This window comes from Homo sapiens, chromosome 2 (genome assembly GCF_000001405.40).
Source record: "Homo sapiens chromosome 2, GRCh38.p14 Primary Assembly".
In the NCBI taxonomy this organism is placed as follows: domain Eukaryota; kingdom Metazoa; phylum Chordata; class Mammalia; order Primates; family Hominidae; genus Homo; species Homo sapiens.
This window is the reverse complement of record NC_000002.12, coordinates 111,852,314-111,879,978: the sequence shown is the minus strand read 5'-3', so window position 1 is coordinate 111,879,978 and position 27,665 is coordinate 111,852,314. Positions and strand designations below refer to the sequence as shown.

Here is a 27,665-nt window from a genome sequence, read left to right as displayed (position 1 = left end):
AATGGTAGAGATTAGAAGTAGTCCCTGCTGCAGAAGATTTACATGTTTCTAAAGGAGAGAAGAAATGCCACAAAAGTAGGTAGAGTAATAGCTTTTTTTTTTTCCTGAGACGGAGTTTCACTTTTGTTGCCCAGGCTGGAGTGCAATGGCACAATCTCAGCTCACCGCAACCTCTGCCTCCTGGATTCAAGTGATTCTCCTGCCTCAGCCTCCCGAGTAGCTGAGATTACAGGCATGTGCCACCACGCCCAGCTAATTTTGTATTTTTTTAGTAGAGGCGGGATTTCTCCATGTTGGTCAGGCTAGTCTCAAACTCCAGACCTCAGGTGATCCACCTGCCACGGCTTCCCAAAGTGCTGGGATTACAGGCGTGAGCCACCACACCCGGCGAGTAATAGTTCTTAAGTAGAGGAATGAGATGTTAAGTGTGTGTCAGAAAATGAATCCCTCCTGCCTTATTCCATTGTCATATCCCTTTGGGATACTAAAATCTCGGGGAGGGAAAGCCTATGTAGTTACAAATGGAAACTTCTCTTTCTTCCATTCATTTTGGTGGGTGGGACAAAGGAAAAGAAGGTGAATATATATGTGATTGCGAAGCAGGAAGTCTGCATTTGTGTGTGAACTCCCCAAGTGATTCCCACGTGCACCTCACTGTCCTTTCCCTACCCTACCTCATATACTTAATATGTCCTTTTAGTCTCCCAAGCATGTGATTTGACTTTTGGAACTATAGAGAAGGTGTACTTTTTGTTCGTTTTTGTTTTTGGCAGAGTAATATAGAGGAATAATATAAAACATTCAATATAGAGAATTATTGAGTAAATTCTTCATGTAATTCTGTAGTGTAATGCATATATCCACATCCTCCGTTAATCAGTGTACCAAACTTTGTAGGAGTTGTGTTTGAATTGAGTCTTACTCCATGGGCAAATAAATTTTGTTCCAGATTTTTGAAGAACAAAAAAAGAGTGCTTGAATATGTTTTACATGTGTTAATTTTTAAGGAAAGCTGGCAGTTAAGGAAAGGAGTAAGTGAAATTGGAGAAGATGTGGACTATGATGAGGAACTCTATGTTGCTGGAAATATGGTGATATGGAGCAAAGGAAGTAAAAGCCAGGCATTGGCAGTTTATAAAGCATTTACAGTTGACAGTCCTGTTCAGCAGGTGAGTTGATTTGAATTTTAGCATTTGATTCACTATTTAATGCAATTAAAAAAAAGTTTTGTTTTAAAATTTAACAGAAATGATAAAACCAGCCTAATGATCTCAGCAGCTGGGTGTACGTTGTAACATGACATAATATAATGTGAAGATAATGGCAGGAAAATAAAAATTTAATTTTATTTTTATATCATCACTTTTTTTACACTCTTCTTTGTCACTTTAATGGTAATCTTTAAACACTCTGTCCTTATGTAATTCAATTTGTTATTGCCAGCAAAAACCTATAAAACATGAAGAGTACAGAAATATTTTAACACATGATTACTATAATTGATTGCAAAGATTTGAATAAATAAAAATCGTGGGATTCATAATGGTAGAGAGAAAGGAAAAAATCTGCTTTGCAGCCATTGCAGTTGGCTGTTATAACTAACTGTTCTGAAAGTTGATAATGAAAGGGAAAGAATTAAGCATTTGCCATATTTTTTCAGGAAGACATGCAGTTCATCTCCATTTGATGAAGGAAAACTTGTACTTAGAGAAGAATGCTAGCTAATAAGTGTAAAAGGAATTGTAGAATTAGAATATCACCATTTTGTAACCTCCAGTGCAATAATTGATTCCAACAAGGATTGTAAATGGATACTAACACTGTTGGTTGAAAGAATATTACCATGGCACCAACACATCACCCTGTGGATTACCTGGTAAATGTGAAGGAACAAATGTACCTCTACTTTGGAGTTATTTGTCAGTCTCCACCTCAATCAAGTGATTGAGTTTAGCATAATTAGTAGTGACATGAAGGAGTATTATGTGCTTCTAGCTATAATACAGAATGAAGTACATGATGTCATCTAAGTTTTCTTCCCAAAAATATGAATATTTAGACCTAACTTCCTATTTATAGGAAATATAGGCAATAGAGAATTATATTTTAAAATACCATGAGATAAGGAAATAGATAGCTAGGAATGGCTAAAGCTTTATTATTATTATTATTGTTTATTTATTTATTTGTTTTTTGAGATGGAGTCTTGCTCTGTCACCCAGGCTGGAGTGCAGTGGCATGATCTCAGCTCACTGCAAGCTCTGCCTCCCAGGTTCATGCCATTCTCCCGCCTCACCCTCCCGAGTAGCTGGGACTGCAGTTGCCCGCCACCACACCCGGCTAATTTTGTTTTTATATTTTTAGTAGAGCTGGGGTTTCACTGTGTTAGCCAGGATGGTCTCGATCTCCTGACCTTGTGATCTACCCACCCACCTCGGCCTCCCAAAGTGCTGGGATTACAGGCGTGAGCCATCATGCCCAGCCAAGCTTGATAATTATTAAAACTGGCTGATGGGGATTCATTATCCTATTCTGTTTACTTTGTATTTATTTGAAATTTTCCATTATAAAAAGTTTATAGTCTACATTCTGGTTTCTTTAAAAAAGTCACGGAGAAAGAAAAAAAGGTGGGGACTGTTCTACATTGAAAGAGACTAAAGAGACATCACCAAATGCAGTATTTTTTGATCCTTGTTAAATGAACTTTGATTGAGTCCTGGTTTTCTAGCTAAAAAGATATTTTTGGGGAAAATTTGGGAAAGTTGAAAATTACTGGCCAGTAGCTGATGTTAGAGAAGTATTATTTTTTTCTCAGGGACGATGATTTTATGGTTTTATAGGAGAACATCTTTATTTTTAGAAAAGGCATGGTGAAGTATTTAGGGGTGAAATGTCATGATGTGTGTGCAATTTATTTTTAAACAGTCAGCATTCCCATTCCGAAAATCCCATATGTACACAAATGCACACACACAAACAAATATGGCAAAATTTTCATGATTGTTGGATATAGGTGAAATATGTTTGCTGCATTATTTCAACTTTTCTTACTGAAAATTTTTATAACAAAAAGTTGGAGGAAGAACTAATGCATTTATTGTAGTTGAATTAGGGTTGACGAGGTTTTGGAGGCTTTGACTAATGTTAAGTTTCATTTTTGTAAATGCTGAAATCTTTGTATCTGGATACTGCTTCCTCCCACTCCTCCCGCCTACCGTTAACTATTTCCTGATGAGTACTGTATTCTATTTATTGGAAAGGATAAACTGAATCATTATTCCAACATTTGAGGGCATATGTGAAAGCATTTGTGTCCTGGAGTGTTGAAGCCAGTGATCTTTTTGATGGTAAATTTTTTCCCATATAATTCATATAGTTAGTATAGATGTGAAAAGTGCATTTGATGATATCCAAGTAGTTCTTTGCTTCTATATCTTCATCTTAATTTCTCCAAGAACAGTTGCCTATTTACTAGATTCTATGGAAGTGCAGTTAGATATATTATCTCCTTTATCTTAAGATCACTTGTAAGTGTAATTGTAAGATTTGGAATTTCAGTCTTTTGATCTGGAAAATATATTGTTACTTAATCTTCTTGCTAATATGGAGAAAGATAATTTTCTATTTTGTTTATGAAATAATATCAGGTATATGTGACTCAGATTTTATCTGTTCATTGTTTTACCTATCCTGCAAGTATTTTTTTTTTGGTTGTTCTTTTTATTTTTTCATTTATTCTTTTTGTTTTTTAATAGAGATGGGGGTCTCACTATGTTGTCCAGGCTGGTCTTGAACCCCTGGGCTCTAGTGATCCTCCTGGCTTGGCCTCCTAAAGTGTTGAGATTACAGGCGTGAGCCACTGTGCCTGGTCTTCTGCAAGTATTTAGTCTCACTCTGTTTCAGCCATTATGCTGGGGCTACAAAGGTGAATGTAGTTTCTGCCATTGAAGGACTCATAGCCTAGAAAGGAGAACAAACAGATCACCTGAAATGCTGTATTCTGAATGCTGTATAATAACTACCTGTCCACAGAGTGATGAGAGCCCAAAGGACTGAGTGCCAAAGGGAGGGTTTTTCAAAGAAGATGCTATTTGTGTTATAAAATGGTGGCAGAAGGGCATTCTAGGCAGAGGAAATCACAGCAAAAAGAATTATGGAAAAAGATGACTTTTTAAACTTCAGAATGGCTGTACACGAAGTGTGGGTGTGGAGAGATGCAAGTGGATGCTGGCAGTATACAGACCAAAGGGCCTTGTATATAAACCAAGGAATTTGGATTTTAAACTGTGTGCTGAAGGGAGCCTGCCAAGGATTTTAAAATGGAAGCGATCAATTTTGTGTTTTGAGAAGAGATTGCTTTGTTAGCAATATATATATAGGATTGACTGGAGAGGAGGGAGACTGTTGTCAGGGGCACTATTTTGTGACTGTTCAGGTAAAAGATTGGTGCCTTGGCAAAGAAGGGGTGATAAAGCAGAGGGAGATGTGGAAGGGGTTAGTGATCTCTTAGATATCAGGGATAAAAGAGATGTTAAAATATTTACTTTTAGAGGCTGAGAGGATGGGATTTCATCAAAGGAAGTTGAGACTGTAATCGGTGCATTGTAGATTTTGGACATTTCAGGTTGGAGCACAGCTCTCATGCATGGTTTTCTTCCTGAATTTTCATTTCTTAACCATTAAAATCTCCCACAACTCAACAATAAAACAAACTACCCAATTAAAAAATTGGGCAGAAGGACTTAAATGGACATTTTTCTAAAGATGCACACATGGTCAGTAAGCACATGAAAAGATGCTCAGCTTCGCTAATCATTAGGCAAATGCAGATTACAACCACAATGAGATACCACTTTACTAGGTTGGCTGTTATTAAAGAAACATAACAAATGTTGGTGAGGATGTCCAGAAATTGGAACTCCTGTGCATTGCTGATGGGAATGTAACATAGCTGCTGTGGAAAAGTTTGGCGATTTCTCAAAAAGTTACACGTGTAGCCAGGCATGGTGGTGCATGCCTGTACTCCCAAGCTGTTCAGGAGACTGAGGCAGGGGGGTCATGTGAACCCAGGAGTTCTAGGCTGCTGCGAGCTAGAATCATGCCTTGCATTGCAGTTTGGGTGACAGAGTGAGACCCCATCTCTTGAAAGAAAAGTTATACTTAGAATTACCATTATGATCCAGCAGTTCCAGTTCTAGGTATATGCACAATTGAATTGAGAACAGGGATTCACAGATACTTGTACACCAGTGTTTTCAGCAGCATTATTTATGATAGCCAAAAGGTAGAAACAACCCATGTCCATTGACAGATGAATGGATAAACAAATGTGGTATATGCTAACAGTGGAATATTGTTTAGCTTTAAAAAGGGATAAAATTCTGATACATGTCATAACATGGATGAACCTTGAAAACATTATGTTAAGTGAAATAAAATAGATATAAAAGGACAAATGTACAGTTTCACTTACATGAGATACCTAGCACAGGCCCTTTCATAGGGAAAGTGGAATAGAGGTTACCAGAGCTCAGGGCATTGGGAAATGGGGAGTATTGTTTAATGGGCACGGAGTTTCTGTTTGAGATGAGGAAAAAGTTCTGGAAATGTGCAGTATTGTACAAGCTCACAAATTGTACTAAGCTCGTCAATTTAATGTTAATGCTACTGAATTGTCTACTTAAAAATTGTTAAAATGTTAATTTTCATATTGTGTGTATTTGACCACAGTTTAAAAAAAAACACAAAATGCTGTTAAATAATAAGTGATTGCCAGGTATGTCAGTTAAAGTTTAATAGCTTTTCCTAGTTTATATTTTGTAAGATGGGCTTTTAAGAAAGGGAGGAGTTAGTTTTTCTAAAGACTTTTTCAAAAGTCAGTCTAGAGAGAGTCTAAGATCAGTTGTTTAATCTGGAGATTATAAAGTTTGAATAATCTTTAGTTTTGTAGAGGATATAGGGTTTAGTATGGTTTGAGCTACTATTTGAATTTTTGCTGCAAAGTTTCTATCTGGTAGATTTTTTGATTCTTGTCTTCTCTTTTTGTAAAATTTATTTTTTTAATTTAAAATTTTAATTCCTATGGATCTTTTCATAAAATTTAATTGTAAACATATTTTGCCTTTCCTTATCATATTTATCATTTATTACTCTAATTTATTTTTTCTTATTCTTTTTGTTCCCATGATTGTACATGTTGAGCTGAGGAGGCAAAGTTATTACGTAGATGCTATTATTATTATTTAGATGCCATTAGTTAATAGATGATTATTTAGATATAATTTTCTTAGGTAAGCATTTTGTTTTGATTTTAGGCATTGTGGTGTGACTTCATTATATCACAGGATAAGTCTGAAAAGGCCTACAGTAAGTTTCTTTTTGAAATTTTATTTTTCTTATGATGATTCCAAATATTTATCTCATTGTATTTTTCATTCAAATGAAGTAGCCACTAGTAATAGTGGTTTACCATAAGCATCTTTATATTGTGCATTAAATAATTTGTGCTGTTAGGATTGAACTCCTTTGAGGGAAAAAACACATAAGTCTTGTTGTACCCTTTCTTTTCAGGTAGCAATGAAGTAGAAAAATGCATATGTATATTGCAAAGCTCATGTATTAACATGCATAGCATAGAAGGAAAGGATTACATAGCTTCATTACCATTTCAGGTAAACAAGTGTTTCAAATTTTGGGGGGGTTTTGTTGGAGAACATTTTTGAATTAATTGGTTTTAGAGGCATGTCTTATGTCTCATGTTTCGTAGTAGTCAAAAATGTTATTTTTACTCAAAATAACTAAATTTTGGCAGCTTTAGTGGCTTACCATTTTTCTGTACTTCACAAGAAAATAAGTTATTTAGTGAAGTAAATTAGGAAGTCTTCTGTGGTATGTGTTTGTTGGTTTAAATGATACCTAAGAACTTTTGGTTATATTAAATAAGGCATATGAATAACACCAGTCTTTTTTTGTTACTCATCGTCTTTTTAATGCCTAGGGCTATTGTTAACACATTGTCATTTTGTTACTGATCCTGGCCAGTGGCAGGAATTTCACATTGAACAACTCCTCTTTATTAGATTTGATTTTATCTTAGAGTTGCTTATTTGTATTACTTTTTAAGAAAATACCGTATTTAATGATTATGTTACTTTGTAAAGCTATTACTAAATTGGAAAATAAAACATTCTGTAATGTTTCTTTAAAACATTTTATAAAGGGGTAGGTTCTCTTACTTCTATCTTTTCCCACCCTTTTACCTGAAAGGTTGCAAATGTTTGGCCCACTAAATATGGATTGCTGTTTGAACGAAGCGCTTCTTCACATGAAGTACCTCCAGGTTCACCCAGGTATTCATTTTATTCACTTCAGAATATTACTGCTTGGGATTTGTGTGTTTGTGTTGGTTCTGAGGTTTATCTAAAAGTTTGAGATGATGATAATTTTCATGTTGACAGCATAGATATATGCCATTTTCTCTCATCTCAGTACAAGTTGAGTATCCCTGATCCAAAAATCTGAAATTCTCCAAAATCTGCAACTTGTTGAGCTCCAGCATGACACTCAAAGGAAATGCTTATTGGAGCATTTCAGGTTTTGGATTCTCAAATTAGGGTTGCTGTCATCAAAAAGATATGTCATGATCAAGTGGGTTTTGTCTCAGGGATGCAGGGATGGTTTAACATACACAAGTCAATAAATGTGACACATCACATAAACAATTAAAAACCATATGATCATCTCAATAGATGCAGAAAAAAGCATTGGATAAAATTCAGCATCCCTTGATGATAAAAACAAACTAGGCATAGAAGGGACTTACCACAAATTAATAAAAGTCATATACAACAAACCCACAGCCAACATCATACTGAATGGGGAAAAGTTGAAAGCATTCCCCCTGAGAACTGGAAGAAGACTAAGATGCCTACTTTCACTATTTCTATTCAGCATAGTACTGGAAGTTCTGGCCAGAGCAATCAGGCAAGTGAAAGAAATAAAGGACATCCAGATTTGAAAAGAGGAAGTCATACTATCACTATTTGCTGATAATATGATTATATACCTAGAAAACCCTATAGACTCCTCCAAAAGACCCCTAGATTTGATAAATAAATTCAGTAAAGTCTCAGATTACAAAATCAATGTACACAGATCAATAGCACCGCTATACAGCAACAATGACAAAGCTGAAAATCAAATCAAGAACGCAGTCTCTTTTTTTTTGAGACGGGGTTTTGCTCTTGTTGCCCAGTCTGGAGTGCAGTGGCATGATCTCGGCTCACCACAACCTCTGCCTCCCAGGTTCAAGCGATTCTCCTGCTTCAGCCTCCTGAGTAACTGGGATTACAGGCATGCACCACCACGCCTGGCTAATTTTTTGTATTTTTAGTAGAGATGGGGTTTCTCCATGTTAGTCATGCTGGTCTCGAACTCCCGACCTCAGGTGATCCACCCACCTTGGCCTCCCAAAGTGCTGGGATTATAGGCATGAGCCACCGCACCTGGCCAAAAATTCAATCCCTTTTATAAGAGCAGCAAAGAGCCAAAAACAAAAACCTATGAATATGCTTAACCAAGGAGGTGAATCATCTCTATAAGGAGAACTACAAAACACTGCTGAAAGAAATCACAGATGACACAAACAAATGGTAACACATCCCATGATCATGGATTTGAAGAATCCATATTGTGAAAATGATCATCCTGCCAAAAGCAATCTATAGATTTCACCATAATTCTCATCAAAATAAGATCTTTTTTTTTATAGAGTTAGAAAAAACAATTCTAAAATTCATGTGGAACCAAAAGAGCCCAAAATAGCCAAAACAATCCTAAGCAAAAAGAACAAGTATGTAGCCATCACATATTCTACAAGGTTATAATTAGCAAAACAGCATGGTACTGGTATAAAAGTAGGCACATAGACCAATGGAACAGAATAGGGAAACCAGAAATAAAGCCAAATACTTGTAATCAAGTATTTGATCTTTGACAAACAAGCTTACAAAAACATAAATTGGGGGAAAGGCATCCTATTTAGTAAATGGTGCTGGGAAAACTGATACCTTTTTTAGAAGAATGAAATTGGGTTTTTTTTATCTCTCACCTTATACAAAAGTCAGTTCAAGAGGGATGAAAGGCTTTAAGCCCTGAAACCATAAAAATTCTAGAAGATCACCTTGGAAAAACTCTTCTGGACATTGGCCTAGGCAAGGAATTTATGACTAAAACACCAGAAGCAAATGCAACAAAAACAATAAATAAATGGGACCTAATTAAAATAAAAAGCTTCTGCACAGCAAAAGAAATGTCAGAATAGACAGATAGTTCACACAGTGGGAGAAAATATTTGCAAACTATGCATCCAACAAAGCACTAGTATCCAGAATATATAAGGAACTCAGATCAGCAAGACAGAAGCTCAAAAAGTGGGTAAAGGACATGAATAGACAGTTCTCAAAAGAAGATACACAAATGGCCAACAAACATGAAACTGCTCAATATCACTAATGATCAGAGAAACACAAATTAAAACCACAGTGAGATCTCACCTTACTCTTTAAGGAATGGCCATTATTAAAGAGTCAGAAAAACAATAGATGTTGGCATGGATGTGGTGGAAGGGGAATGCTTATACACTGCTGGTGGGAACATAATTAGTATGACATCTATGGAAAACAGTATGGAGATTCCTTAAAGAACTAAAAGTACGTCTACCATTCAATCTAGCAGTCCCATTACTGGGTATCTACCCAAAGGAAATAAAAGTCATTATGTGAAAAAGATACATGCACATGTATGTTTATTGCAACACAATTCACAATTGCAAAGATAAGGAAGCAGCCTAAGTGCCCATTGACCAATGAGTGAATAAAGAAAATGTATATATACACCATGGAATACTAATCAGCCATAACGAGGAAATGAAATAATGTCTTTTGCAGCAAGCTGGATGGAACTGGAGGCCATGATTCTAAGTGAAGTAACCCAGGAATGGAAAACCAAATACTGCATGTTCTCACTTCCAAGTGAGAGCTAAGCAAGGAGTATGCAGAGGCTATATACAGAGTGTTATGATGGACTTTGGAGACTCAGAAGGAGGAGGGTGGGAAGAAGGTGTGGGATAAACAAACTACATATTGCATACAACATACACTACACAGGTGACAGGTGCACTAAAATCTCAGAATTCACCACTACATAATTCTGTGTCACCAAAAGCCACTTGTACCCCCAAAAGAATTAGGGTTGCTCAACCGTTAGTGTAAGGTAAATAATCCAAAACACTTAGGGTCCCAAGTATTTCAGATAAGGGATACTCAGCCTGTATGTACACTCATGAACTCTACGCACTTGGCACTTAATTAGCCTTTTTTCCCAATCTAAGTGGTAAAATTGAATATGCAAATAAATGGCTTCAAAAAAGATTTGGCCGGGCGCGGTGGCCCACGTCTGTAATCCCAGCACTTTTGGGAGGCCGAGGCGAGTGGATCACCTGAGGTCAGGAGTTCGAGACCAGCCTGCCCAACGTGGCGAAACCCTGTCTCTACTAAAAATACAAAAAATTAGCCAAGCGTGGTGGCAGGTGCCTGTAATCCCAGCTACTCGGGAGGCTGAGGCAGGAGAATCACTTGAACCTGGGAGACGGAGGTTGCAGTGAGCCGAGATCACATCACTGCACTCCAGCTGGGCGATGAGCAAAACTCCGTGTCAAAAAAAAAATAAATAACAAGATTCAGTTCTTAGCTCTGCCATTTTCTCATTGTGCTGCTTTGAGCAGATCATTAGAGCTTTCTTAGCTATAGTTTCCTTACGCGTTACAGGAATGTTATCATTTACCTCTTAGGACTTATGCAAAGTTAAAGTAGCTAAATGTATATAAGCTTTGACACAGGGCCTAGTAGGTATTAAGTATGCAATAAATGGCAGATGTTTACTAGCGGCGTGTTTATCTTGCCCCCTATGAATTATGAGCACACCGAAGGGCAGCAGCATACAGCACCTGTCAGGCATGTTGTGGTGCAAGAGGTAGGCACTTGCTAAGTCTTAAAGAAATTGCTGATAGATTTTCATCTCTTTATGCTTTGAAAGAAAGCCCGTCTTCGCTCTAAAAAAAATAATTCCTTAAAAAATGTAGGCTTCTGGCCAGGTGTGGTGGCTCACGCCTGTAATCCCAGCACTCTGGGAGGCCGAGGCAGGTGGATCACCTGAGGTCAGGAGTTCAAGACCAGCCTGGCCAACATGGTGAAACCCCGTCTCTACTAAAAATACAAAAAAACTAGCTGGGCGTGGTGGCGTGTGCCTGTAATCCCAACTACTCGGGAGGTTGATACAGGAGAATCGCTTGAACGTGGGAGGTGGAGGTTGTAGTGAGCCGAGATGATGCCCCTGCACTCTAGCCTGGGCAACAGAGTGAGACTCCATCTCAGAAAAAAAAAGCAGACTTAATTTACTTGAAGTAGTTTGTTTCTTCCTTTTTTAAAAAATGCATTCCTTTGTCAGCAGATATGGGAGAATAAATTTCTTTCTTAGCTGCCAAAGACACACTGCCAGTAAGAGAGGTCAATAAAAAAAGACCGCTTTATGCACATTACTCCATTTGTTCTGTACTGTGATGACTGCTGTTTGCAGAAATTCCCTGGCTATATTGATTTCCCTCTGTTCGTGCATTGATAGAATTACTCTAAGGGGAGAGATTTCTAGGAATGAAATAGAAGACAATGTGAAAAATAGTATGTACAAAGTTTAGAAGATTGCATTTTGAGATAGTAGGTTTCTAGTTGCTCATGTAATCTGGAGATTTCTTTTCAATAGAAGTGCAAAATTTGTGCACAGACATACTCGTATTGGTAATTAATTGATTATTTGTTTATTGCTAGAGAACCTTTACCTACTATGTTCAGCATGCTGCACCCACTAGATGAAATAACTCCACTTGTTTGTAAATCTGGAAGTAAGTGTATTTCTATATTCTTTTAGATAAGCTCTTTTTTTTTTGACTTTGGTGAGGGAGGTTATAAAGGCGCTTATATGAAAACTGACTTATAAAAATAATGTAAACATTTTACAAAAATAACTTCTATTTTGACTTTCTTGAATATCATGGTATTAACTGCTCAACAGTTATTTTAGTAAAAATAAGGCATATAAATCAGTGAGGAATACCGATATATTTATTAACCTACCTGTAGATGCTTTGTTCTTTAATAATTAATAAGTAAATGAATGATACTTAGATGAAGTAAAGTTTATTTTTTGTTGTTGTTTTGGGTTTTTTTTTTTTTTGAGAGGGGTCTTGCTCTGTGGCCCAGGCTGGAGTGCAGTGGTGTGATCTCAGTTCACTGTAACCTCTGCCTCCCGAGTTCAAGTGATTATCCTGCCTCAGCCTCCCGAGTAGCTGGGATTACAGGCACACGCCACCATGCCTGGCTAATTTTTTATATTTTTGGTGGAGATGGGGTTTCATCATGTTAGCCAGGCTGGTATCGAACTCCTGACTTCAGGTGATCCACCCACCTCGGCCTCCCAAAGTTCTGAGATTACAGGGGTGAGCCACCGTGCCTAGCTGCTTTTTATCTTCTGTATTATGTCTTGGCAAACTGTAGGCCATGGGCTAAATCTGGCCTGCAGCATGTTTTTGTAAAGCTTGTGAGCTAAGAATGGTTTTTTTTTTTCTTTCTTTTTTAAGACAGAGTTTTGCTCTTGTTGCCCAGGCCAGAATACAATGGTGCGATCTCGGCTCACTGCAACCTCCGCCTCCTGGGTTCAAGCGATTATCTTGCTTCAGCCTCCCAAGTAGCTGGGATTACAGGCATGTGCCACCACACTCAGCTAATTTTGTATTTTTAGTAGAGACGTAGTTTCACCATGTTGGTCAGGCTGGTCTTGAACTCCTGACCTCAGGTGATCCACCCACCTCGGCCTCCCAAAGTGCTGGGATTACATCGTGAGCCACCGCACCCAACATAAGAATGGTTTTTACCTTTTAAAGGGTTGTAGGAAATAACAAAGATTATGTGATAGAGTCAGTATGTGGACAGCAAACTGCCCTATTTAGTCTTTGATCTTTTACAGAAAAAGTTCAAATTTTATGTTGTTACTAATTGCAGACAACCCGAATAAACATACTAGAGCCTGGGATTAAATGGCACGCAGCCTTTTTTTTTTTTTTTTTTAAGTACAATTTCCATTTTATTTTTTCTCTGGAGAATAGTCTGTTTTTAGTCGTTTTATTTTCATTTTTTTTTTTTTTGAGACGGAGTCTCGCTTTGTTACCCAGGCTGCAGTGCAATGGCACGATCTCGGCTCACTGCAGCCTCTGCCTCCCAGGTTCAAGCGATTCTCCTGTCTCAGCCTCCCTAGTAGCTGGGATTAGGGGTGTGCCATCACGCCCAGCTAATTTTTTGTATTTTAGTAGAGATGGGGTTTCACCCTGTTGCCCAGGCTGATCTCGAACTCCTGAGCTCAGGCAATCCACCCACCTCGGCCTCCCAAAGTGCTAGGATTACAGACATGAGCCACCACGCCTGGCCTTGTCTTCAGTGTTGAAGGACTCAGCTCCTTACATGGGCTTTGGTGGGTGTGTTTGGTCCTTGTGGGCTTTACAAGGTGGATTCCTGACGACTTTTCTGTGAATTGCACATCTCACACAGTAATTTAGCTTCACATACAGCTTGGGAAGCACATAGGCATTGAAGACACTCGCTTCACAAATGTCCCTGACTGCTGCGGCCTCCACCACATTTCGAATGATGAATTTTTTTTTTTTTTTTGAGACAGAGTCTCGCTCTGTTGCCCAGGCTGGAGTGCAGTGGCGGGATCTGGGCTCACTGCAAGCTCCACCTTCCAGGTTCACATCATTCTCCTCCCTCAGCCTCCCGAGTAGCTGGGACTACAGGGGCCCGCCACCATGACCCGCTAATTTTTTTTATTTTAGTAGAGACGGGGTTTCACTGTGTTAGTCAGGATGGTCTCGATCTCCTGACCTCGTGAGCCGCCTGACTCAGCCTCCCAAAGTGCTGGGATTACAGGCGTTAGCCACCTGCCCAGCCTCGAATGATGAAATTTCTTAATGGCCTTGTCCTTGGGCACACGTCGGGCACAGTTTGTGCAACGAATAGGCTGCATGTGGCTGTGCCCCTTTTTGGCATGATTGTTGTTCCTTCTTTTCTTTGTCATCTTGGAGGCACGGACTGGAGGGAGGAGTGTAGCCATTATTGATCATATTTTTGACTAATATTTAGTGAACTAGAAGTTGCTTATTTGTGATGTCAAGTAGGATACAAATAACACAGTATGATTATAATTTTGTAAAAATGTATAAAGTGTGTATATATGTATGAAAAAAACCAAAAATTCTCTAATGTATTAATAGTAGATATTTTGAGATGGTGGCATGATTTTTATTTATAAAGTATTTCTTATGATTATAGAATCATATTTTAAAATTTTTCAGTATTTTAACTGAGTGGGAAACATTTCCTGTCAAATAAGGATATGGAGACCAGTCCATGGTACTTTAGATTAAAAGCTGAACTCACTGGGAAAAACCTTATTTTGCATGTGTAACTAGTAAAGCAGAAACAACAGTGTACTGTTCGGCACTGTCTGAATAGTAATTATAGAGTACAGCTTTCATACAGAAAAACAGAACCAATAAGGAAGTCAAACTTGGCAGAATAGTTGAGTGCAATTTATAAATAAGTCAGTTGAAGAAATCATCGACCTTTTACCTGTGGCTGATTCGTGTAATGGTGAGAGTCAGCACAAATCTTAACATTTAGCAACAGCATGTATGTGAAGCTAAAACTTGTAATGCTCTCATCTTTAATGTATTTTAAGGAAGTTGATGCCTAAAGTAAATTTATTAAAAATTCAGAGTTAATTATTTAAGATAGTAATAAATTTTGTGCTCTCTTTGGCTTGGTTGTTCTTTATCTTTAACAATTTTAAGAGCTCTGTTCATAAATATCAGTCTTGTAAAGCCCATTGTTCTATACCTGATTTTTCTATTTTATTTTTAAGGTCTTTTTGGTTCATCACGGGTGCAATATGTTGTAGATCATGCAATGAAAATTGTTTTCCTCAATACTGACCCCTCTATTGTAATGACTTATGATGCTGTTCAAAATGTGCATTCTGTGTGGACTCTCCGGAGAGTCAAATCAGAGGTAAGGAGAAAGGCAAGTCACTTCTCCTTAATAGGAAAGGGTAGGCTGGGTGCACTGGCTCACACCTGTAATCCTAGCATTTTGGGAGGCCAAGGCAGGCGGATCACTTGAGGTCAGGACGTTCAAGACCAGCCTGGCCAACATGGTGAAACCCCATCTATACCAAAAATATAAAAAATTAGCCAGGTGTGGTGGCTTCTGTAATCCTATCTACTCGGGAGGCTGAGGCAGGAGAATCACTTGAACCTGGGAGGTGTAGGTTGCCGTGAGCCAAGATCATGCCACTGCACTCCAGCCTGGGTCACAGAATGAGACTCCATCTCAAAAAAAAAAAAAAAAAAAGTATATATATATATGAAAGAGTAGTTAATACTTCATACCCTCACTTTTTTTTTTTTTTTTTGGAAAAATCACTTGTGAATAGTTTTATTATCATCATCATCATCATCATCATCATCATCATCATCATCATCATCTCTAGAGACAGGGCCTCACTCTGTCACCCAGGCTGAAGTATAATGGCACAATTACAGTTCACTGCAGCCTTGAACTCCTGGGCTCAAGTGATCCTCCTGCCTCAGCCTTCCGAATAGCTAGGACTACAAATGTGTACCACCACTCCCAGCTAATTTTTAATTTTTTGTAGAGATGGGATCTTGCTATGTTGCCCAGGCTGGTCTTGAATTCCTTGGCTCAAGCTATCCTCTCTCCTCACCCTCCCAAAGTGCTGGGATTATAGATGTAAGCCACGGCACCTGGCCTCATTTGAGAAATAGATTGAGCTTCTTAGGAAAGAAGAAATACTGTGTCTTTAGTAACTGACTTCAACTTGCATTCTTACAAGGAAATTGCTACTTTATTCTAATTATTGTTTTTTTTTTTTTCCTCTTTCTCTTTATTTTGACTTAAGGAAGAGAATGTTGTTTTAAAGTTCTCTGAACAGGGGGGAACCCCACAGAATGTGGCCACTAGCAGCTCCCTCACAGCACATCTCAGAAGCCTCTCCAAAGGAGATTCCCCTGTGACTTCACCTTTCCAGAATTACTCCTCCATTCACAGCCAGAGTCGCTCAACCTCATCACCCAGTCTACATTCTCGCTCACCTTCTATTTCCAACATGGCAGCTCTAAGGTATAAGGGTTTCCTGGTTTTTCTTTCTAAGCTTTCTGTTTTGTTTTGAAGGATTTAGAATTTCTGTTGACAGCTGTTTTTAGGGGAAATATATTTAGGGGAGATGTTTTTTAGGGGAAATAGCCATTATCCCAATTGAGCCTTTTTTTTTTTTTTTTTTTTTGAGACGGAGTCTTGCTGTGTCACCCAGGCTGGTGTGCAGTGGCGCAATCTTGACTCACTGCAAACTCTGCCTCCCGGGTTCATGCCATTCTCCTGCCTCAGCCTCCAGCTGGGACTACAGGCGCCTGCCACCATGCCTGGCTGAGTTTTTTTTTTTTTTGTATTTTTAGTAGAGATGGGGTTTCACCGTGTTAGCCAGGATGGTCTCGATCTCCTGACCTTGTGATCTGCCTGCCTTGGCCTCCCAAAGTGCGGGGATTACAGGCGTGAGCCACCGTGCTCAGCCCTGAGCCACTTTTACTAAGATTTCTAAGTTTACCATGTCACATTCTTTCCTGAGTCATATTTTGAAGCTGCCTATGCTTGACCTAAGGTTAGTTGCCTCATTTCTACCACTATGTGGGCAACAGTTTGATGAATATTAATTCCCAAAATACTGTGGCACTATTTTATTTTTGCCTTAATTTATGTTAGTTTTTCTTTTTTTTTTACTTGTTATTTGATATGTAAATGTATCTATTTCTCTATATAGATATATATTTAAATGACCAGATATGTATATCTGGTGCTACAGGGACATTGTTTTGTTGATAAATATATATGTCTGACTATACAGGGACATAGTTTAGAGCTTTTTGAATAATCATTCATTTTCCGAAAAAGAAGATGATCTAAGTTTTAGTTGTAAAAGATGAGTTCTTCTAATAATAATTCTAAATCTTTAGAATATAGTAAAGCACATTGACATGAACCATTTAAATAGCTACTCCTTTTTGAAAAATTTTAATTTCTGACCTGGATTATGCCATGAATGCTCTTCTGTCTGTGGAATTTTTGGAAGTGTCATTGGAGTGTGTGTCATATAAGCCTGCCTTGCTAACTGTGATGTACTCTCTCCTCTGTTTATTTTGCAGTCGTGCTCATTCTCCTGCGTTAGGAGTGCACTCTTTTTCAGGGGTGCAAAGGTTCAACATTTCAAGCCATAATCAGTCTCCAAAGAGACATAGTATTTCTCATTCTCCAAATAGTAATTCTAATGGCTCCTTTCTTGCACCAGAAACGGAGCCAATTGTTCCTGAACTGTGTATTGACCATTTGTGGACAGAAACGATTACTAATATAAGGTTTGTTATATATATTATTATATTCAAAGAAAAATGTTGCTGAAAGTCTTGGGAAATATATGGCATTTTGTTTAAAGTTTCCTTTTAATGTGATCAGTTATTAATATATGTAAAAATATATAGAGATATGTATTAAGGCCACCTCAGTTTCAGTAGAGGATATTAATGATATTAAAGTGATCATAGGCTGGACGTGGTGGTTCATGCCTGTAATCCCAGCACTTTGGGAGGCTGAAGCTGGTAGATCACTTGAGCCTAGGAGTTCGAGACCAGCCTGGCCAACATTGTGAAACCCTGTCTCTACTAAAAATACAAAAATTAACTGGGTGTGGTGGTGCATACTTGTAATCCCAGCTACTCAGGTGGCTGAGGCAGAATTGCTTGAACCCAGGAGGCTGAGCTTGCAGTGAGCTGAGATCGTGCCACTGCACTCCAGCCTGGGTGACAGAGTGAGACTATCTCAAAAAAAAAAAGTCATCATAAAAATATTATTTTGTCATCTGATATTTCTTCCTTTATAGTAATAATCTCTCATTTTTCGGGTGTTTTTTGTTCTGGGGAGAAACAGTTAATTTCCATCCGTGAGGAAATGTGGGGTTTTAGCACGTTTCCTAAGTTTTATGTTCATGTTAGTTGAGTGCCAGCTTTACTTTTTGGGAAACATAGCTTAGATCTCTGTTCTGGGTGACCTTTCTTCTTTTATATTCTCTTTAATAATTCACGTGTTAATTTATATGCCAATGTGTGTGCTAGTTAACAGTCTAATAAGTCACTGTCCCTGTCCTCAAAAGAGGCAGATAGCTGAAGGATGGTGACACAGGAGGGACTACTTTTGCTGGTAGGGCTTTGAAAGACGAATAGGTATTCGCTAGGCAGGGAAGTTGAGAAAGACCACAGACGGCAGCTGGGATCAGAACAAAAGTTCTGGTGAGTGCGTGGTGTATTTAGGGAATTACAAGTACTTCCACTCTGGTTTTTGCAGAGGGGAGGGAAAAGGCTAATGAAGAGGAGGCTTCCTAGGCGCAGTGGCTCACACCTGTAATCACTCACTTTGGGAGGCTGAGGCAGATGGATCACTTGAGCTCAGGAGTTCAAGACCAACCTGCCCAAAATGGTGAAACCCCATGTCTACTACAAATACAAAAATTAGCCAGGCATGATGGCGTGCATCTGTAGTCCCAGCTACTCTGGAGGCTGAGGTGAGAGAGTCATTTGAACCTGGGAGTTGGAGGTTGCAGTGAGCCAAGAGCACACTACTGCACTCCAGCTTGGGCAACAGAGTGAGACTGTCTGAAAAAGAAAAAAAGGAGGCTTGAGAGATTACTGATTGCCCTTTAGGCCTCTGGTATGTTTGATGACAGCGGTAAGAAGGCACTTTATAAGTGTGTCGGAAGTTTGGGAAAGAGCAGAACAATAAATGTGGAATTGTCAGCTTATAGGTGGTGATTGAGGTAAGAGAATTAGATTAGAATTGAAGAATTATTGTATTCAATAATTGTGTGTACATGTAGTATATAGGCCTTTTCCCAAGGAGAGGGTTTTAACATTCCTTAGATTCTCAAAGGGATTTGTGGCCTCCAAATAGTTAAAATCCAGTGGTGTAGAATGAGAAGAGGGCTAGGAACTGAAGTCCTGGAAACTTAAGATTTGGGGAATGGAAAGAGACAAAGCTGGCACAGAGAGACAAAGCAAAAGAGGTCAGATGGGAGAAGCAGCAGGAAATACAGAATACAAAAAAGAACATTTCAAGAATACAGAGATGCCAGTATTGCCAGGTACTGGTGAAGTGTGGCCCTGAGAGTTGAACCCAGAGAGGAGGTACCTGGGTGGCAGTGGGTTCCTTGGTGACCTTGGCCAGAGCATTTTAAGCTGGGAGGGTGGCGGGGGAAAGTGGGGTAGAAAAAGTAAATGGGGACTGAGGAAATGAACATAGGCATACAGACTCTTTAAGGAGTTTGCCTTTGAATAGGAATGAAGATACAAAATTAGAGGGAGTCTTGGTCAAGGAGAGTTTTGTTTTTGCTGAACTATAATAAAATTAGTTTTCATGACATCTTGCCCCAGTATTTTCTTTTTCTTTTTTTTTGAAACAGGGTCTCACTCTGTCACCCAGGTTGGAGTACAGTGAGTGACTCAATCACAGCTCACTGCAGCCTTGGCCTTCTGGGCTCAGGTGATTCCCCAACCTCAGCCTCCCAGATAGCTGGGACTATAAGCACACACCGCCACGCCTGACTAATTTTTTGTAATTTTTGCAGAGAAAGGATTTTGCCGTGATGCCCAGGCTGGTCTCAAACTCCTGGGCTCAAGCAACCTGCTTGCCTCTGCCTCCCAAAGTAATGGGATTACAGGTGTGAGCCACTGTGCCTGGCCCCCAGTATTTTCTAACCTAACCACAATACAAGTTTTATATCCAGTCGAATTGAGAAGGTCTTTTATATACTCTAATGTTGAGTCCATTTTGTATTTTAAGACTTTTAATGTGAAGTAGTAGGCTATACGGACTATACTCAAGGGAAAGTATTGAAAATACAGAACAGAGGAAATGATTGATGGAACAAGTAACCAGAAAGGTGCATAAGTGGTGAGATTGGGATAAAGAAGTGAAGGTTGATCAGATATGTAAGGCAGGAGGTTGAGCTCAAGCCTTAGAGCCTCGTTTTATCTGAAATGGAAGGCAAATGCATAATCTTAGAGAGAATGAAATGGGGAATAGGTAGTCTGAAGAAAGTAAAGATGTGGATACAATGTTGAAGTAGTCTGTCTGGTTTGTTTCTCATATATCAAAAGTATCCTACAATTATAAATCATTTTTCTTTAAATAACTTATTTGTAAGTTGAATATATTATAGATTCTTATTTTTTAGATTTATGGGTCTTCTGTAGCACTATTTATTTATTTATTTATTTATTTATTGAGATAGAGTTTCGCTCTTGTTGCCCGGGCTGGAGTGCAATGGCGTGATCTTGGCTCACCGCAACCTCTGCCTCCCAGGTTCAATCGATTATCCTGCCTCAGCCTCCCGAGTAGCTGGGATTACAGGATTACTGGCTAATTTTGTATTTTTAGTAGAGACGGGGTTTCTCCATGTTGGTCAGGCTGGTCTTGAACTCCTGACCTCAGGTGATCTGCCCACCTCGGCCTCCCAAAGTGCTGGGATTACAGGCGTGAGCCACCACACCCGGCCTTCTGTAGCACTTTAGAAGGAAGGGTTTGGGAATTAGAGATACGATTTCAAAAAGAGATGTGAATGAGGCCTAATCTGAGAAGGAGAGGGGGTAGATAGGAGAAATAGCATTATGAAAGATCTGGCCCTTTGCGGGATAGGAATTCAAGTTTGCATGCATTACTTTACAAGTAGGTGGCTTAGTTTGCATTACTTTACAAGTAGGGAGCTTACATAGTATGTAATTTAAAAGTTCATCAGTAATTGTTAAATTTATTGTAGCTTTCCCCAACAAAGCTGTGTAACGAGCTCATAATCAAAGAACTGAAAGGATCTTAGAGATCATGAAGTTTAATTCTTAGAAATGTTTGTGTCTTTGAGATTATTGCTTGACCTAAGTAGTTTTTAGATTTCTTGCAGAATATTTTCAAAGACTTTTTTTTTTTTTTTTTTTCTTTTTGAGACGGAGTCTGGCTCTGTCGCCCAGGCTGGAGTGCAGTGGCGTGATCTTGGCTTACTGCAAGCCCCGCCTCCTGGGTTCATGCCATTCTCCCGCCTCAGCCTCCAGAGTAGCTGCGACCACAGGCGCCTGCCATCATGCCTGGCTAATTTATTTTGTATTTTTAGTAGAGACGGGATTTCACCGTGTTAGCCAGGATAGTCTGGATCTCCTGACCTCGTGATCTGCCCGCCTCGGCCTCCCAAAGTGTTGGGATTACAGGTGTGAGCCACCGCGCCCGGCCTCAAAGACTTTTAATAGTTACTGTGGTAGATTCTTGGACCAGTGCTGACAGTTACTTTATTAATGTATCTATTATAGAGAGAAAAATTCACAAGCCTCAAAAGTGTTTATTACATCTGACCTATGTGGGCAAAAGTTCCTGTGCTTTTTAGTAGAGTCCCAGCTCCAGTTACGGTAGGTGTATGTCTTTCCCATTGTTTCTGTATAAATAACTTAGCACTGCTTTTTCTTTTTCTTTTCTTTCCTTTTTTTTTTGGCTTAAGTAGTTTTATTTAGAAATAATTTACATGTCATAAAATTAACATGTTTTTACTGTATAATTAAATGATTTTTAGTAAATTACAGTGTTATACAACCATCACCATGACCCAGTTTTACAAGATTTATATCACCATAAAAAGATTTCCTTGTGCTTGTTTGTAGTCAGTCTTGTTCCCATTTCCAGCCTCAGGCAACCATGCTAGGCTTCTGCCTTTATAGATTAATTTTTCTGGACATTTATATATATATAATGTATGTACACACAGTGTACCTTTTTGTGTTTAGCTTTCACTTAGCGTGATGTTTTTAGGATCCACCATTTTGTAACATGTATCATTATTTCATACCTATTGCTATGTAATAGTCCATTGTATAGATCTACCACCATGTTTTGCTTATCTGTTCATCAGCTGACGGACTTTTGGTTTATTTCCACCTCTTGACTACTGAGAATTATGACCATATGAACATTTGAACAAAGGTCTTGAGCAAAAATGTGGACATATGTGATTTTATTTTTCTTGAGTAAATGCCTAGGATTGGGTCATTGGGTTGAATGGTAAATTCATGTTTAACTTTTTAAGAAATCACCAAACTGTTTTCCAAATAGCCTGTATCATTTTATATTCCCACCAGCAAAATATGAAGGTTAATGTCTCTTTATCCTTGACAGGATTGGATATCATCACACTCTTTGATTGTAGCTATTTTCTAGTGGTTGTGAAGTGGCTTTAATTTGCTTTTCTCTAATGCATTCTGATGTTGATCATCTCATGAAGTTATTAGCCATTCATTTATCTTCTTAGGTAAAATAGCTATTCAGATCTTTTGCCCATTTATTTACCTTCATATTTTGAAATACGATAGATTAAAGGAAGTTACAAAAGAGTAAACAAGTCCTGTGTACCTTGCATTCTTTTTCCCTCACAGGTAACCTCTTATATAACTATAATACATTATCATAACCAGGAGATAGATGATGTACACACTTTATTTCAAATTTCATCAATTTGACATGTACTCATTTATGTGTATGTATGGTTCTATGCAGTTTTTTCACATATGTAGATGTGTGTAAATACCACCACAATCAAGATACAAAACATCTTTATCTGTCTTACGTTAACTCCTTATAGTCACATACACCATTACCCACTGATCCTGGTAACCACTAATTCTCCATCTTGATAATTTGGCATTTGTGAATGTTATATAAATGGGCTCATACAGTATGTAAACTTCTGAGATTGTCTTTTTCTGTTCAGTATAATACTTTTAATACCCATACAGGTTGTTGCATGTATCAAGTTTCTTTTTTATTTTATTATTTAGCTGTGTAAAGTTTCAAGAGAGTAATGATAAAACCCAGCTCATCTTTGGTTCAGTGACCAACATACCAGCAAAGGATGCAGCACCAGTGGAGGTAATGTAGGCACATTTGAGAAGTTGACAATTACGCTTCAACAGATTTTTCAGTCAAAAAATCTGTTAATTTGCTCAGATTGGGAAATAAATTTTTTGTCTTTTTTGTTTTTTTAGAAAATAGACACCATGCTGGTCTTGGAAGGCAGTGGAAACCTGGTGCTATACACAGGAGTGGTTCGGGTAAGCAATAAGTAGCACTTCATGCCTTTAGTAGGACTTCAGGCTGCCTGCATGAATATTTGTAATGTTACTTTAGATTGATATTTTAAATTTGTTATGTTCCTGTCTGCACAATTTGGCAGAAGAATTTTGTTAATAATTCTCAGTGAAGCTTCCTATTTAGGTGGGTCCTAATTTGGAGGGCTATGGCTCACTGCTGTTAAATGCATTGGTACTCTAAACCTGTCACAGATGGGAAACCTTCAATGAGTATAGGTAGATTTTTTTTTTTTTTTAAAGTTAAAGTTTTGAAATTGAAGCATGGGTACCTTTGGTAAGTACTAAAGTTTTGGTAAAGTTTCACTATATTAAATGTGGTATATGTTAGCTGTATTTTTTTGAGACGGAGTCTCGCTCTGTTGCCCAGGGTGGAGTGCAATGGCACGATCTCGGCTTACTGCAAGCTCCGCCTCCCGGGTTCACACTATTCTCCTGCCTCAGCCTCCCGAGTAGCTGGGACTATAGGCGCCTGCCACCACGCCTGGCTAATTTTTTGTATTTTTAGTAGAGACGGGGTTTCACCGTGTTAGCCAGGGTGGTCTCGATCTCCTGACCTCGTGATCCACCCACCTCGGCCTCCTAACGTGCTGGGATTACAGGCGTGAGCCACCGCGCCCAGCCGCTAGCTGTATTTTTTAACATTTGTGAAATGTACGTAGAGAATATACATTTTACAAATTTAAATTATGAAATTTAAATACATACAATTTGAATAATAATAATGAAGTGAATATTCATCTACCCAGTACTCTGGTTAAGAAATAGAATATTGCCAGTATCCTTATTTTTATTACATTCTTTTGTGATTGCATCCTATCTTCCCCTGCCCTCGAGATAGAATCCTGATTTTGTGATAAATCAGTTGTTTGTATTACTAGTTTTTACAGTTATGTATGTATCACTAAAGAATGCATTATTTAGTTTTCCTTGTTTTTGAATTTTTATATAAAAAAAGATACCATGTACTCGCCTCTGATATACTTATTTTGCTCAACATTATATTTGTTTTAGATTTGTCTGTGTTGATGCGTGTGTTGTTTACTCATTCAGTGTGATGTATATATTTAATAGTATTCCATCGTACCTCATTTTGTGCTTTGCTTTATTGTACTTCACAGATACTGCATTTTTTTTTACAGATTGAAGGTTTGTGGCAACTTCGTGTTGAGCAAGTCTGTTGGTGCCATTTTTCCAGCAGCATGTGCTCATTTTGTGTCACTGTTTCAAATATTGATAATTCTTGCAATATTTCAAACCTTTTTGTTATTAGTTTATCTGTTATGGTGACCTGTGATCAGTGGTCTTTGATGTTACTATTGGAATTCTTTTGGGGCACCACGAACTGTACCCATATAAGATGAGGAACTTAATTGATAAATGTTTTGTGTGGTCTGTCTGATCATTTGACCCCTTTCCTGTCTCTCTGTCTCCTCCTGCCTCACTATATCCTGAGACAAAACAATATTGAAATTAGACCAATTAGTAACCCTCTAATGGCCTCTAAGTTTTCAAATGAAGGGAAGAATCACAGGTTTCTCACTTTACATCAAAAACTAGAAATGATTAAGCTTAGTGAGGAAGGCGTGTTGAAAGCTGAGATAGGTTGAGAGCCAGACCACCTGTGCACAAGAGCCAACTTGTGCATGCAGAGGAAAAGCTCTCGAAGGAAATTAAAAGTGCTATTTCAGTGAACATGGCAACTGATAAAGCGAAACAGCCTTATCGCTGATATGAAGAAAGTTTTAGTGTCTGGACAGAAGATCAAACCAGCCATAACATTCCCTTATGCTGAAGTCGAATCCACAGCAAGGCCTTAACTCTCTTCAATTCTGTGACGGCCAAGAAAGGTGAAGAAGCTGCAGACGAAAAGTTGTAAGCTAACAGAGGTTGATTCTTGAGGTTTAAGGAAAAAAGCCCTCCCCATAACACAGAAGTGCAAGGTGAAGCAGCATGTGCTGATGTAGAAGCTGCTAAGATAATTGATGCAGGTGGCTACACTAAACAGATTTTCAGTGTGGATGAAACAGCTTTCTGTTGGAAGAAGATGCCATCTAGGACTTTCATAACCTGAGAGGAGAAGTCAGTGCCTGGCTTCAAAGGACAGTCTGACTCTCTTGTTAGGGGCTAATGCAGCTGGTGACTTAAAGTTGAAGCCCGTGCTCATTTACCATTCCAAAAATCTTAGGGCCCTTAAGAATTATGCCAAGTCTGCTCTGCCTGGGCTCTATAAATGGAGTAACAAAGACTGGATGCCAGCACACCTGTTTATAGCATGGTTTACTGAATGTGTTAAGCCCACTGTTGAGACGTATTGCTCAGAAAAAAGATTCCTTTCAAAATATTACCGCTCATTGACAGTGCACCTGGTCATCTAAGAGCTCTGAGGGAGATGTACAGGAGATGAATGTTGTTTTCATGCCTGCTGACACATCTGTTCTGCAGCCTGTGAAGGAGTAATTTTGACTTTAAAGTCTTACTATGAAATACATTACTTAACTGGAGCTGCCATAGATAGTGATTCCTCTGAGAGATCTGGCAAAGTCCACTGAAAACCTTCTGGGCTGGGCGTGGCAGCTCACACCTGTAATCCTAGCACTTTGGGAGGCCGAGGCAGGTGGATCATGAGGTCAGGAGATCGAGACCATCCTGGCTAACACGGTGAAACCCTGTGTCTACTAAAAGTACAAAAAATTAGCCGGGCGTGGTGGCGGGTGCCTGTAGTTCCAGCTACTCGGGAGGCTGAGGCAGGAGACTGGCGTGAACCCAGGAGGCGGAGCTTGCAGTGAGCCGAGATTACGCCACTGCACTCCAGCCTGGGCGACAGAGGGAGACTCCATCTCAAAAAAAAAAAGAAACCTTCTGGAAAGGATTCACCTTTCTAGATGCCATTAAGAATATTCATGATCCATGGGAGGAGGACAAAATATCAACATAAACAGGAATTTGGAAGAAGTTGATTCCAACCCTCATGGGTGACTTTGAGGGGCTCAAAACTTCAGTGGAGGAAGTCACTGCAGATGTGGTGGAAATAGCAGGAGAATTAGAATTAGAAGTAGAGCCTGAAGATGTGACTAAATTGCCAAGATCTTATGATTAAACCTGAACAGAATTGCCAAACTTGAACAGAATTGCCAAAATCTTATGATCAAACTTGAAGAGTTGCTTCTTCTGGATGAGCAAAGAAAGTGGGAACATACAGAAAACAAATATTAAATGGCAGATTTAAATCCCACTAGGCCACTAATTAAATACAATGGTCTAACACAAATAACAGAGACTAGCGGAAGAGATTAGAAAATACAGCCCAACTATATATGTTGGTTATAAGAAGTGTTCTTCAAATATAATGACATGGGTAAGTTAAAGGATGGAAAGAAGATATATTATGCAAACAGTAATCAGAAGATAGCTGGAGTCTCTATAAAGTGGGAAAAAAAAATGACCAGGAACAAAGAGAGACTTTAAAGGGCCAAATCACCAAGAAGGCACCCTTGAGTATTTTATAAATGTCAGTTCATTCCATTTGGTTGATAATGTTGTTCATGTCCTCTCCATCCTTGGCAATTTCTTTTCTCTTCTTTTTTTTTGATACAGTATCTCTCTCTGTTACTCAGGCTGGAGTGCAGTGGTGGGATCACAGCTCACTGCACCCATGACCTCCTGACTCAAGCGATCCTCCCACCTCAGCCTCCCAAAGTGCTGGGATATTACAGACATGAGCCACCACATCAAGCCTGGCAAACTTTTTATGTAGGAGTTCAGACAAGTATCTTAGCCTCTATGGGCCACATGCAGTCTCTGTTACATATTTGTCTTCTGTTTTTTTTTTCCTTAACCATTTAAGTACGTAAAACCTATTCTTAGCTCACAGACTGTACAAAAACAGGATACGAGCCAGATTTGGTCATGGAACATGGTTTGCTGACCAAGGATCTAAATAGATGCAGAGAAATCATTTGATAAAATAAAATATCCATGATTAAAAAAAATCCTCAGCATCTAGAAATAGAAGGGGACTTCCTCAAATAGACGAGGGACATTCAAAATTTTCACTGTGCCTCCTGATGAGGAGGAAGGGATGGCCATGACTTTTTTCTTGGTGTTTGCAAAGAGTAGGGCAGATATAGTGAAAAGTTTCTGTCCTGGTCAGTCATTCTTTTCCCAACACTTTGGCTGGAAAGAGTAAGATTTTCTTAGGGCGTGTTTTGTCTGTGAACGTTGGCATGTCTGTGTTATAGGCACTTTGAAAGCCTAAGGCCTG

At 38.8% G+C, this 27,665-nt stretch overlaps 1 protein-coding gene across 9 annotated transcripts in view; it reads left to right on the top strand.

Annotated features, from left to right (window-relative positions):
• Positions 1-27,665, top strand: part of ANAPC1 (anaphase promoting complex subunit 1) — a 117,963-nt gene that overhangs the window by 4,215 nt on the left and 86,083 nt on the right. For 8 of the 9 annotated variants that reach the window (XM_017004711.2, XM_017004710.3, NM_022662.4 and 5 more), the window contains exons 3-13: positions 1,008-1,169; positions 6,315-6,366; positions 6,571-6,671; positions 7,267-7,349; positions 11,883-11,956; positions 15,028-15,173; positions 16,084-16,304; positions 17,381-17,590; positions 21,578-21,673; positions 23,093-23,183; positions 23,300-23,365. In XM_017004711.2, the coding sequence (XP_016860200.1) occupies positions 1,008-1,169; positions 6,315-6,366; positions 6,571-6,671; positions 7,267-7,349; positions 11,883-11,956; positions 15,028-15,173; positions 16,084-16,304; positions 17,381-17,590; positions 21,578-21,673; positions 23,093-23,183; positions 23,300-23,365 (1,302 nt within the window). The remainder of the gene's footprint in view (positions 1-1,007; positions 1,170-6,314; positions 6,367-6,570; positions 6,672-7,266; positions 7,350-11,882; positions 11,957-15,027; positions 15,174-16,083; positions 16,305-17,380; positions 17,591-21,577; positions 21,674-23,092; positions 23,184-23,299; positions 23,366-27,665) is intronic. The other variant, XM_017004713.2, reaches the window with a different exon arrangement.